The sequence below is a fragment of the Homo sapiens genome, chromosome 14, assembly GCF_000001405.40.
Source record: "Homo sapiens chromosome 14, GRCh38.p14 Primary Assembly".
Lineage (NCBI taxonomy): Eukaryota > Metazoa > Chordata > Mammalia > Primates > Hominidae > Homo > Homo sapiens.
Genome location: NC_000014.9, coordinates 49,598,730 through 49,611,713, shown reverse-complemented (window position 1 = coordinate 49,611,713; position 12,984 = coordinate 49,598,730). Strand labels below are relative to the sequence as shown.

Sequence of the window (12,984 nt, the reverse complement as noted above, 5' to 3'; positions counted from 1 at the left end):
TGGCCTCAAGTGATCCACCCACCTCGACCTCCCAAAGTGCTGGGATTACAGGCGTGAGCCACTGCGCCCAGCCTTACAATTCTTACAATTTCTTTTATGTATGTCTTAGAGAAACAATAGCCTCAGGTGCACCTCACTGCCAAAAGATACTGTTTGGAGTTCCCTCAAATCAGTGGATTTAACCTGAATCATCAGTATCACCTCTGGTGATTTTATTTAATTAACTGATTGACTGATTGAGACGGAGTCTCAATCTGCACTCCCAAGCTGGAGTGCAGTGGTGCCATCTCGGCTCACTGCAACCTCTGCCTCCTGGGTTCAAGTGATTCTCCTGCCTCAGCCTCCTGAGTAGCTGGGATTACAGGTGCGCACCACCATGCCCGGCTAATTTTTGTATTTTTAGTAGAGACGAGGTTTCACCATGTTGGTCAGTGTGGTCTCGAACTCCCGACCTTGTGATCCGCCTGCCTCGATCTCCCAAAGTGCTGGGGTTACAGGCGTGAGCCACCGCACCTGGCCTTCAGATGTTTTAAATGTTTCTCAGGTTATTCTAAATTTGAAGTAACGTCTGAGAACCATTGGTTTAGAGTAAGAGTTCTTACATTGGGGATGGCAAGGAGAGAGGACTGGACTGGGTTTCAGTGGGAGCCAGGTTCCTTTTATGCAAAATTCTGTGTACTCATGTGTACAGTTTTCCAGTTCCTTAACTTTGGTCAGTTTTAAGAGCCCCTCTCCCCTAAAAAAGTTCAGAATTTCTTATTTGAAATATGATCTTTCTACCATTTTATAGGTTCTCAGTAATACTTTGGTCCACATCTTAGCTTCCAGACATGCGTTCAAGAAGCCTGAACAGGCTGGGTGTGGTGGCTCATGTCTGTAATCTCAGCACTTTGGGAGGCTGAGGCAGGTGGATCACAAGGTTAGGAGTTTGAGACCAGCCTGGTCAACATAGTGAAACCCTGTCTCTACTAAAAATACAAAAATTTAGCCGGCCATGGTCATGGGCACCTGTAATCCCAGCTACTTGGGAGGCTGAGGCAGGAGAACTGCTTGAACCTGGGAGGCAGAGGTTGCAGTGAGCTGAGATCACGCCATTCCACTCCAGCCCGGGCAAGAGTGAAAGAGACTGTCTCAAAAAATAAAAAGCAACCTGAACAATGGCTGGGAGTGGTGGCTCATGCCTGTAATCCTAGCACTTTGGGAGGCCAAGCCAGGTGGATTGCTTGAGGCCAGGAGTTCAAAACCAGCCTGGCCAACGTGGTGAAACCCCATCTCTACTAAAAATACAAAAAAATAGCCAGCCGTGGTGGCGGGAGCCTGTAATCCCAGCTACTTGGGAGGCTGAGGCAGGAGAATCACTTGAACCCAGGAGGCACTCCAGCTTGCGCACTGCACTCCAGCCGCTTGCGCACTGCACTCCAGCCTGGGCAACAAGAGCAAAACTCCATCTCAAAAAAAAAAAAAAACCCTCAACAAAATGAATCTGGTGCTCAGGGTCCATGAAACCAAATGCAGTTAGTGTTCAGACAAGGAGAAGAGAACCAACAGCTACTGAATCCTACTATATGCCAAATGCTTTGGCATTACATTAGCTCATTTATCGTCACAACTCTATAAGGTGGGTATTATTCTTCCTGTTTCACAGCTGAGAAAATGAAATCAAAGAGGTTAAATAGGTCAGGTGTGGTGGCTCACGCCTGTAATCCCAGCACTTTGAGAGGCTCACACCTGTAATTCCAGCATTTTGAGAGACCAAGACAGGCAGATCACCTGAGGTCAGGAGTTGGGAGACCAGCCTGGTCAACATGGTGAAACCCCATCTCTGCTAAAAATACAAAAATTAGCTGTGTGTGGTGGCACATGCTTGTAATCCCAGCTACTCGGAAGGCTGAGGCAGGAGAACTCCTGGAACTCGGGAGGCAGAGGTTATAGTTGAGCCGAGATCATGCCACTGCACTCCAACCTGGGCGACAGAACAAGACTCCATCTCAAAAATTAAAAAAATAAGGCCAGGCGCGGTGGCTCACACCTGTAATCCCGGCACTTTGGGAGGCCAAAGTGGGCAGATCACAAGGTCAGGAGTTCAAGACCAGCCTGGACAACATAGTAAAACTCCGTCTCTACTAAAAATACAAAAAAAAATTAGCCAGGTGTGGTGGCGGGTGCCTGCAGTTTCAGCTACTTAGGAGGCTGAAGCAGGAGAATCGCTCGAACTCGGGAAGCAGAGGTTGCAGTGAGCCGAGATGGCGCCACTGCACTCCAGCCTGGGTGACACAGTGAGACTCTGTCTCAAACAAATAAATAAAATGAAAATACAAAAATGAGCCAGGCATGGCGGTGGGCGCCTGTAATCCCAGCTACTCAGGAGGCTGAGGCAGAAGAGTTGCTTGAGTCTGGGAGGCAGAAGTTGCAGTGAGCTGAGATTGGACCACTGCACTCGAGCCTGGGCAACAGAGTGAGACCCTGTCTCAAAAAAAAAAAAAAAAAAAAAAAAAAGGGCCAGGTGTGGTGGCTCAAGCCTGTAATTCCAGCACTTTGGGAGGCCAAGACGGGCGGATCACGAGGTCAGGAGATCGAGACCATCCTGGCTAACACGGTGAAACCCCGTCTCTACTAAAAATACAAAAAAAAAATTAGCCAGGCGTGTTGGCGGGCGCCTGTAGTCCCAGCTACTCAGTAGGCTGAGGCACGAGAATGGCGTGAACCTGGAAGGCGGAGCTTGCAGTGAGCCGAGATCGCTTCGCACCACTGCACTCCAGCCTGGGCGACAGAGTGAGACTCCATCTCAAAAAAAAAAAAAAAAAAAAAAAAAAAGAGGTTAAAGTCATACAAAGTGGTGAAGCCAGGAATCAAATCCAAGTCTGACTCCAAAGACCACCCTTCATCACTATGCGAACTCTCTAATTTTAGAGTACATCAAAATCACTTGGAAGACTCACTAAGACACAGCTGGACCCCACTCTCAGTTTCTGATTCAGTAGGTCTGGAATGTTAGAACCTGCATCTCTAGGAAGTTCCTAGGTAATGCAGATCCTGCTGGTCAGGGGAGCACACTTTGAGAAACAATGCCATTCATTCATTTAACTACTTATTGAGTGCTTAATATATGCTAGGAGCAGGGTATACATGGTTTAGATCCTAGGGAAATAGTGGAGAATAAAACAACATCCATGTGCTGATGGATCTTACATTCTAGTGGGGAAAACTGACAGTAAACAAAAAAAAAAGTTTAAAAATATATATAACAGGCAATGAGTCCTATGACCAAAAAAAAAAAAAAAAAAAAAAAAAAAAAAAAAAAAAAAAATCAAGCAATGTAAGGAGGGAAGGAATAAAATTTAGATAGAATGGACAGGTAAGACCTTTCTGGGATGACACTTCGGCAGAAAACTGAATGAAGTGAGGGAGTGAGCAATGAGACTTCCTGGAGAAAAATCATTCTAAGCAGAGGTAAGGAACAAGAAGACCATTATAGCAAAGGGTCAGACTGTGCATAGCACTGTAAGCAATGTTAGACTTTATTACTCTGAGTTTGATAGGAATATTAGAATGCTATCAAAGACACCACATTACATGACTATTAAAATCTTACCTATTATGTAATATGGTTCGTGCAGAAGATTCCAATAAAGTTAATGGTGCTTGCAGCTTTATTACTGGAAGGACTTTTGGTTGTTCAAAAGTATTTCCAAAAAGATCCAAGTATTCAAGGGATAAATTTCTAAATTCACTAGGCAAAAATGGAAGCTTATTTCGAGCTGCTGACAAAAAGCGAAGGTTTATTAGTTGTCCTATCTTGCAAGGAAATTGAATCAATTCATTATCGTCAAGTTTTAAATTCTTAAGTTCCTGGAGCTGGCAAAACTGCACAGGGAGTGCCTTGATTTTGTTCTTGCTGAGGTCCAAACTCCGAAGTGACTTCTGGAGTGTAGAATGACACAAGGCTACACTAAATGACTCCAAGTGATTGTCATTCAGGTTAAGTTCTTGAAGGTGTATGAGGTCTCCAATTGTAGCTGGAAGCTTTTTTATATGGTTGTGACTCAAGTCTAATTTCCTAAGGCTTTTTAAGCAAAGCATACGCATATCAACTCGGACAAGCCCACAGTAAGAAGTCTGAAGATGTTCCAAGGAATATGGAAAATTCTTACTTAGAGGATAGTCTTTTTTGGATGTGATAACCATTTTAGTTTTAAAGTTTTCAAATTCTGAAGTCTTCACTGGTGTGAGCGTTGAAACTGGTGTATCAACATTACAGCCTCTATGAGCCAGTCTCATAGCTGAAAGGAAACCTTTTAAACTGCTGGAAATGGCCTGAATAAATAAAAGTTGTAGAATTATAAATTCCACTGGAGATAATACATACATGCTAGTTCTTCCCATAACAAATTCTATGGCATTACTTATGAATGTGATACAATGATTTACTGAAATTGACTGTAAAACTTTTTTTTAGTACTTTATTTTGACTAAATTTCAAGTTTAAAAGTTTTTGAAAAAAATTACGTGGAGGGACACATTCTAAATAAAACTGTTCAAAGGGAAGTCATGCCAACACTTTGGGAGGCTGAGGTGGGAGGATCACCTGAGCCTAGGAAGTAGAGGCTGCAGTAAGCCATGATATCACTGCCCTCCAGCCTGGGCAACAGAGTGAGACTGTCTCAAAAAAAAAAAAAAATAACAAAAATAAAGGGAAATCATAAGAGTATAAAATAAGATAGGAAATGATTGACTATTCCACTTAAGATTTGAGTTTAGGTGGGGCGCAGTGGCTCACGCCTGTAATCCCAGCACTTTGGGAGGCCGAGGCAGGTGGATCACTTGAGGTCAGGAGTTTGAGACCAGCCTGGCCAACATGGTGAAGCCCTGTTTCTACTAAAAATACAAAAATTAGCTGGGCGTGGTAGTGCATGCCTGTAATCCCAGCTACTTTGGAGGCTGAGCAAGGAGAATCGCTTGAACCCGGGAGGCGGAGGTTGCAGTGAGCCGAGATTGTGCCACTGCACTCCAGGCTGGGCAACAGAGCAAGACTCTATCTGAAAAATTAAAAAAAAAAAAAAAAAATTTGAGTTTAAGGCCAGGTGTAGTGACTCACGCCTATAATCCCATAACATTGGGAGGCCAAGGCAGGCGGATTACTTGAGGTCAGGAGTTTCAGACCAGCCTGGCCAACATGGTGAAACCCCTTCTCTACTAATAATACAAAAATTAGCTGGGCAATGTGGCGCATGCCTGTAATCCCAGCTAGTCAGGAAGCTGAGGCAGGAGAATTGCTTGAACCTGGGAGGCAGAGGTTGCAGTGAGCCGAGATCGCGCCACTGCACTCCAGCCTGGGCGACACAAGTGAAACTCGGTCTCAAAACAAAACAAAACAAACAAACAAAAAAGGCTGGGACTGGTGGCTCACGCCTATAATCCTAGCACTTTGGGAGGCCAAGGTGGGTGGATCACCTGAGGTTAGGAGTTCAAGGCCAGCTTGGCCAACATGGTGAAACCCCGTCTCTACTAAAAATATAAAAATTAGTGGGGCATGGCGGCAGGCGCCTGTAATCCCAGCTGCTTGGTAGGCTGAGGCAGGAGAGTTGCTTGAAACTGGGAGGCAGAGGTTGCAGTAAGCCAAGATCGCAAGACTGCACGGCAGCCTGGGCGACAGAGCGACTCCATATAAAAAAAAAAAAAAGAAAAAAAAAAAAGCTAATTTTTGTTGGAACATGGAAGCTATGTAGAGCAAAAGATTGGAAATACAGTATGAGGACAGATTGTAAATGAGCTCAGATGCCAACGTAAAGTGGAGGGATTTTAAGTATGAAAGTTACATGACAAGAACTAAATACTATTTTGGTAGCACTGTACACAATGAACCAGAGTAGGGAAAAGTCTGGAGAAGACCTGGGTCAACTAGGTACAATAAAGCATACTGGTTCACAGACTTGGGATTCACCCATATAACAGCTGAACTATCAAATGGAAGGCAGGTATGACAGAAAACAGCAGAGGACTGAAATAAAGCCTTTATTTTGGGGATAGAAAAAAATGTTGCTGGAAGCAAGAGACAAAGAAGTGACTAAGAAAACTGAAGGTAAACCATAGTGCCCTATCATAGATACCAAGAAAAGAAAGAGTTTTATTAAGAAAAGGGTAATTATCATTGTCAAATTCTACAGAGTGCAAAAATAATGAGAAATAATGATACTGTGATAGACAAGTGAAAAGATCAGTGATCTCTGAGACAGTGTTTTCAGTAAACCAGTAAAGGTCAAAAGATAAAAAGTGGAGACAATGAATTCAGCCTTGTCTTTCTAGAAATTTGTTTTCTTTTTTTAAAATCAGTAAGATCTCAGCTTGTTTTTAGATAGAAAGGAAGAATTAGTGAAAGAATAAGCTGCAAGTCAAGAAAAAAAATGAAAAATCACAAGGAGGAGATGGGACAAAATTATTCCATTCAATCCAAACTCCTTAGTTATCGAACTTTTAATGTTGCAGAGCACTTTGCTTGGAGTTAAAAATAATGCACAGTTGGGCCAGATGTGGTGGACCATGCCTGTAATTTCACCACTTTGGGAGGCCAACGTGGACAGATTGCTTGAGCCCAGGAGTTTGAGACCAGCCTGTGCAACAAGGTGAAACCCTGTCTCTACCAGTACAAAAAAATTAGCCTGGTATGGTGTTGTGCCCCTATAGTCCCAGTTACTTGGGAGGCTGAGAAGGAAGGATCACCTGAGCCTGGAAGGTCGAGGGTGCAGTGAGCTGTGATGGTGCCACTGCACTCCAGCCTAGGTGAGAGTGAGACCTTGTCTCATCAAAAAGAAAAAAAAAGCAAGGTTGAACAACGAGACATTGTTTCCACCCATCAGGAAGGGAAAGAGGAATAGGGCAGAGGGCAGAAGGCAGAAAAAAACCACCAGTTTTAAAATTCTAATGGTTTATAAATTTTTTTTGTTTGAGAAAGGGTCTTGCTCTGTCACCCATGCTGGAGTACAGTGGCACAATCATAGTTCACCGAAGCCCTGAACTTTTTTTTGAGACAGGGTCTTGCTCTATCAACCAGGATGGAGTGCAGTGGCTGCAATCACAGTTCACTGCAGCCTTGACCTTCCAGGCTCAGGTGACCCTCCACCTCAGCCTCCCAAGTAGCTGAGATTACAGGTGCACACCACTATGCCTGGCTAATTTTTTTGTAGAGATGGGGTTTCACCATGTCACCCAGGCTGATCTTGAACACCTGGATTCAAGCAATCCGCCCAACTAGGGCTCCCAAAGTGCTGGGATCATAGGCGTGAGCCACCGTGTCTGGCCTCCAGGTTCTAACTTGTGGGATTAAGTGATCCTCCTGCCTCGGCCTCCCAGGTGTGAGCCACTGCACCCAGCCAGTTTATGGTATTTTTGTTTTGTTTTGTTTTGTTTTGTTTGAGACAGGGTCTGGCTCTGTCGCCCAGGTTGGAGTGCAGTGGTGCAATCTTGGCTCATTGTAACCTGCACCTCCCAGGCTCAAGTGATCCTCCCACCTCAGGCTCCCAAGTAGCTGGCACCACAGGTGTGAAAACCACGCCTGGCTAATTTTTTTTTTTTTTTTTGTGGAGACAGGGTTTCACCATGTTGCCCAGGCTGGTCTTGAACTCCTGAGAGCAAGTGATCCACCAGTCTTGGCCTTCCAAAGTGCTGGGATTACAGGTGTGAGCTATGGCACCCAGCCTCAGTTTATATTTTTATAAGAATGATTACAGTCCGGGCACGGTGGCTCATGCCTATAATCCCAGCACTTTGGGCGGCCAAGGTGGGCGGATCACGAGGTCAGGAGTTTGAGACCAGCCGGGCCAACATGGTGAAACCCGTCTCTACTAAAGATACAAAAAATTAGCTGGGCATGGCGGCACGTGCCTGTAATCCCAGCTACTGGGAGGCTGGGGCAGGAGAATCGCTTGAACCCGGGAGGTGGAGGTTGCAGTGAGCTGAGATCACGCCACTGTAATCCAGCCTGGGTGACAGGGAGAGACTCTGTCTCATTAAAAAAAAAAAAAAAAAAAAAAAAAAAGGAATGATTACAGTAAGGGCCAGGCACAGTAGACAAAAATTCGCCAGGAGTGGTGGCACCCACCTGTGGGTTGCAGTGAACCAAGCTCTTCCCACTGCACTCCAACCTGGGTGACAGAATGAGACTCCATCTCAAAAAAAAAAAAAAAAAAAAAAAAAGAAGAAGAAGAAAGAATGATTACAGTAAATAAAATACAAGATGGTTCTAATTGAATTTTTTCCTCTTTTATTACAACAAACTTAGATTTGTAACCTGTGGTTTAGCTGGCAAAATGTAGACCTGTGCAGTTGCCTTATAGAGTTCCAGTCAAAGAACACCCTAGGGCTCCATCTTGAGCACAGAAGCAAACCCAGTTTTCTTCCCATCCTGGGAATCTTACTGAGGCAGACTTTGCCCTTTTAGAAGGCACACAAGCATATTTGGGAAGCTGCCTCTTGTGCCATTGCCTCTTCAAAAAACCTGCAAGAGTCTGTCCCTATTCGGCTATATGGGATAGCAGAATGTGCAAACAGCCTTCTTTAAAGAAAATACAGGCCAGGCTGAGCACAGTGGCTCACGCCTGTAATCCCAGCATTTTGGAAGGCTGAGGTGGGTGGATCGCCTGAGTTCAGGAGTTCAAGACCAGCCTGGTCAACATGGTGAAACCCTGTCTCTACTAAAGATAAAAAAAAAAAAAAAATCAGCCACGCATGGTGGTGGGTGTCTGTAATCCCAGCTACTCGGGAGGCTGAGGCAGGAGAATTGTTTGAACCCGGGAGATGGAGGTTGCAGTGAGCTGAGATCGTGCCACTACACTCCAGCCTGGGCAGCAAGAGCAAAACTCCGTCTCAAAACAAACAAACAAACAAACAAAAAAAGCAAGCAAGCAAGCAAATACACGCCAGGCCAAGTATGGTGGCTCATGCTTATAATCCCAACACTTTGGGAGGCTGAGGCAAGAGGATCGCTTGAGGCCAGGAGTTCAAGGCCAGTCTGGGCAACATCATATCAAGACTCCGTCTCTACAAAAAGTTATTTTAAAAATTTATCCGGGAGTGGTGAGGTACACCTTTAGTCCCAGATATTCAGGAGGCTCGCTTGAGCCTAGGTGTTTGATGCAGTGAGCTATGACTATGCCTCTGTACTTCAGCTTGGGTGACAGAACAAGACTCTGTTTCTAAAAAATAAAGAAAATACAGCCAAATATTAATCATTAATGTTTTTAATACCATACCTTACTTAGACAGATATCCACAGGAGGCTCCTTTAACCGAACAGTGGCTTTCCCCTCATCTACAAATTTGGTGAAGAATTGCTCAATGTTCTCCCTTAGCTGCATAAAACCAATAGAAAAAAAAGAAGAAAACTAATTATTGTTACTCAGTAACATTTATTACAACTAGAATGTGCCAGTTACTTTGCCAGGCTTTGGTTTGGCTTTTAGTCCTTGAGTCTGAGTGTTTTCATTTTAAGTTTTAAAGCTTTTTATCACGCCACTGCACTCCAGGCTGGGCAACAGAAAGAGACTCCTTCTCAAAAAAAAAAAAAAAAAAAAAAAAAAAGTTGTTTTTTTTTGAGACAGAGTCTCACTCACTCTCACCCAGGATGGAGTGAAGTGGTGCCATCACTGCAACCTCCACTTCCCAGGTTCAAGCAATTCCCATGACTCAGCCTCCTGAGTAGCTCGGATTACAGGTGCGTGCCACCATGCCCGGCTAATTTTTGTATTTTTAGTAGAAACACGGTTTCATCATGTTGGCCAAGCTGGTCTAGAACTCCTGGCCTCAAGTGATCTGCCTGCCTGGGCCTACCAAAGTGCTGGGATTACAGGCATGAGCCACGGCGCGTGGCCAAGTTTTAAAGTTTTTTTTTTTTTTTTTTTTTTTAGCAGTTGGGAAGTTATACTCCTCATCTAGCTGGTGGTGGATGTTACTGCTCTGTCTGTCCAGTAACTCTCCTTTGAGAACAGGATCACCATGTTTTGAGAGAATGCTCCTTTTCTCCCATTCCAACTATGTAACTGTAGGAAGAGTTGCCAATAGCAGTTACTTGCCTTCATAACTTCAGTCCATTAGCCTGGGGTGGGCACACCTCCCAGTAGGTTATATACAAACTCCATGAGAGCAGGAATCTTGTCTCCTTTGCTATTCTATCCTGAGTGCTAGAACGATGACTGACACATAATGAGTGCTCAAAAAAAATTTAATGATTATCATCTATATAAATGGCATATTTAAAATTTAAAAAAAATTAATGATTGCTGTTGCATCTGCTTTAGATTTCAACAACTATTGATTCAGAACCCACTATGTACCAGGTACTCTAATAGGGGCTTGGGACATAGCAATGAATAAGACTGACAGGGTAACTACACTTAAAGAGTTGACAATCTGATGAGAGATAGTTATTAAACAAGTACTTATAAGCATAACAAATATCAAGACAAGGCAAGTGCAGGATGCTGTGACCTGATTTTTTTTAAGAAAGCACATTAAGCTTTAATATAGAAATATTTAGGTTACACTTGTGCTCAAGTAATAAAACATTTGTTCTTTTTTGATCTCATACATTCTCTCCTCAGGTATGGCCCATCTCCTGTACGCTTGGAGCGACCTTTGGCTACGTGGCTGGCCTTGTTATTTCACCACTCTGGGTATGCTGGAATAGAAAGCAACTTACATACAAGAACAATTAACTGGAGAAAAGGGAGATATTTCTTTGTGCAGATTCTGTAAGGGCTGTGCAGAAATGTGTATGGTCAAAGCCAAGCAGTTCCATCTACAGCTCTGTTTTTTATGTAGTTACAACATGATGTGATTGTAGCTTTTTAAACTATGAAACCCCTGAGAGATTGTACCTTCTAGTTGAAATAAAGTATTTATAATAGATTGTGGCTTCAGATGCTGCTTACTGCTTCTTAAATCTTTAAGGAACATTCTTAATAAACTTTACAGAATTCTGAGGACAGGTTTTGTTTTCTTTCAAGTTTTGAACTGCTTCATTACCTATAAAAGGTCTGGGTATAGCTGCAGCATTTCATTTGCTTTCTGAGAGAAATGGACAGTTTCCTTGGCCACTGAAGATGTTTCTCACGTAATTAAACAACAGTTTATACATCTTGATCCTATTCTTTTTTTTTTACAGTGTGTTTCTTTGGAGTTAAAATGGCTATGATAGCCTCATCAAAAACAGTCTTCAATCCCTTCTGGGTTAAAGCTGAACATTCCACATAGCAGCATGCTCCTATCTCTTTTGCTAGTTTCTGTCCTTGTTCCACACATATAGGTTTTTCTTTCATATCACTCAGTCTTGCTAAAGTTTTGGGGTCATCTCGGAGATCAATCTGAGCTCCTATTAATAAAAAGGGTACATTTGGTGCGTATTCCTTAAGTTCCGGTACCCACTCCTCCCTCACATTTTGAAATGAGGCTGGATTTACCACCGAGAAGCATATAAGGAAGACGTCGGTCATTGGGTAAGATAAAGGCCTCAGATGGTCATAGTCTTCCTGTCCGGCGGTGTTATAGAGTCCTAGGAGGTACTGCTTGCCCCCCACGGTGACGCTGACTGTGTAGTGGTCGAAGACGGTGGGCACGTACTCCTCCGGGAAGGCGTCGTTGGCACAGCTCATGAGTAGGCACGTCTTGCCCACCGCCCCGTCGCCGACCACCACGCACTTGAGCATCAGCGCGCCGGGCCCGTGAGCCATGATGCTGCTGCCGGCCGGCCTCCGGGCATGGTCCCCCCGGAGCCCCCGCCCCGGCCCCGGGCTCAGCCTCAGCCCGCCTGGAGGGTCCGCCGCCGTCGCCGCCGCTCCACGCCGCGGGGCCGCCCCCCCGGCCCCAAGCAGCGACTCCCCTCGCCGGAGGGGAGAGGGCCGCAGGCCCGCGGCGCTGCCGCCGCCGCGGTCGCCGCCCGGATCCCCGCCCCGGCCCCGGTCGCCGCGCCCGCCCGCTGCCCCCGCCACTCGGCGCCCGCGCCCTCTCCCCGTCCCGGCCTCCCCAGGAGGATCCGCCGGATCATAAGACCGGCCGGCCCCGGGGGAGACGGCAACTGTGGGGAGGGCGGCCGACCTGCTTTTTTAAGCTAGGGAGAATATTGTGGGAGAAAGAATTCACTGAACAGAACTGCAGTTATTTTACTGTTCCCCAACTGGACAGCTGCTTCATTTGCGCTTGTTTCACGCAAAATTTCAGAAACTTGAAACAGGCGGGATTGCCATCCACTACTAAATAGCAACACTGTAAATTCAAAGTCGTAAAAGTGGGGAGGAAAAATAGCGAAAAGGTACACTCTCAAAGCTTTCTTCTTTCGGGTCCGTAGGAAGACGCACAGGACCCTGGGGTCGGGCTGATGGTAGGTCTCAAGGCTGGGAGTTCAGGAACCCCCAAGGCGGGCTTTCGCCTAGGGAGCAGCCGGGAGCATGAGGACCGAGGGTGGCCCGCGTCTCGGCTTCCAAGAAGAACGCGAGACTGACAGGGCCTGCCCACTTCACGCACCTCATAGCGGGTCCCGCGCTTGTCCTTCAGGGTGGAGATGAGCAGGAAGGCTCGGACCGGCGGCTGACTCCTGGAAGTCTGCTGACAGAGGCTCAACACGGCTCGGACGCCCTTGCCCCGGTTCCTAAGCCCCAAGGCGGGCAAGTGCCGGCTGATCACCTCCACCTCACAGTGTAGCTTCATCTCGCCCAACGGCCACAACCACGTCAAGCTGGCTTTGAAACTTCCTCCTTCCCGCCACCCGGCGCCGCCATCGGGGTCCTCGCGCACGCGGGCTGCCCACTGATCTGCCTGCCTGTTGGACTGGTCCGCGACTCGGGCTGTCTTAGCACCGTGTCTGTATGAAGCCCGCGGGAAACGGCTTCCCTTCTCCCTTAGCAGGGCCGGGTTCTCGCCGTGGTTGCGTACCGGGACTGACCACCTGGATCCGGGCTCGCGCCCGGGAAACCGGCAGTCGGCGGGGGCGCAACGTCT

The 12,984-nt window shown here is 46.0% G+C and overlaps 1 protein-coding gene and 1 pseudogene across 4 annotated transcripts in view, besides 5 other annotated features; both read right to left on the bottom strand.

The window, feature by feature from the left end:
* The window catches only part of LRR1 (leucine rich repeat protein 1), a 15,733-nt gene extending 2,959 nt beyond the window's left edge, over positions 1–12,774 (bottom strand). The window contains exons 1-4 of one of the 4 annotated variants that reach the window (NR_037793.2): positions 12,511–12,774; positions 10,065–10,172; positions 9,246–9,344; positions 3,593–4,314 (exon numbers count right to left, since the gene is read on the bottom strand). Coding sequence is in view for 2 of the 4 variants with exons in the window: in NM_152329.4 (NP_689542.2) it covers positions 3,593–4,314; positions 9,246–9,344; positions 12,511–12,693 (1,004 nt within the window). In the remaining 2 variants the exon portion in view is untranslated. Of the gene's footprint in view, positions 1–3,592; positions 4,315–8,095; positions 8,163–9,245; positions 9,345–10,064; positions 10,173–12,510 lie in introns of all 4 variants that reach the window. The other 3 variants (NR_037792.2, NM_152329.4, NM_203467.2) reach the window with 3 other exon arrangements.
* On the bottom strand, positions 10,801–12,041 carry RHOQP1 (ras homolog family member Q pseudogene 1; annotated as a pseudogene).
* Positions 11,703–11,762: a silencer, noted in NCBI's record as "silent region_5696". NCBI's record gives its function as "represses an Ori minimal core promoter by ATAC-STARR-seq in GM12878 lymphoblastoid cells {active_cell/tissue: GM12878}" and the evidence as "EXISTENCE:reporter gene assay evidence [ECO:0000049][PMID:35858748]".
* Positions 11,907–12,677: an enhancer, noted in NCBI's record as "NANOG-H3K27ac-H3K4me1 hESC enhancer chr14:50065755-50066525 (GRCh37/hg19 assembly coordinates)". NCBI's record gives its function as "activates a minimal SCP1, AML or CMV promoter by ChIP-STARR-seq in primed H9 embryonic stem cells {active_cell/tissue: H9 hESC(primed)}" and the evidence as "EXISTENCE:reporter gene assay evidence [ECO:0000049][PMID:30033119]".
* Positions 12,333–12,422: an enhancer, noted in NCBI's record as "active region_8316". NCBI's record gives its function as "activates an Ori minimal core promoter by ATAC-STARR-seq in GM12878 lymphoblastoid cells {active_cell/tissue: GM12878}" and the evidence as "EXISTENCE:reporter gene assay evidence [ECO:0000049][PMID:35858748]".
* Positions 12,463–12,642: an enhancer, noted in NCBI's record as "active region_8315". NCBI's record gives its function as "activates an Ori minimal core promoter by ATAC-STARR-seq in GM12878 lymphoblastoid cells {active_cell/tissue: GM12878}" and the evidence as "EXISTENCE:reporter gene assay evidence [ECO:0000049][PMID:35858748]".
* Positions 12,773–12,842: an enhancer, noted in NCBI's record as "active region_8314". NCBI's record gives its function as "activates an Ori minimal core promoter by ATAC-STARR-seq in GM12878 lymphoblastoid cells {active_cell/tissue: GM12878}" and the evidence as "EXISTENCE:reporter gene assay evidence [ECO:0000049][PMID:35858748]".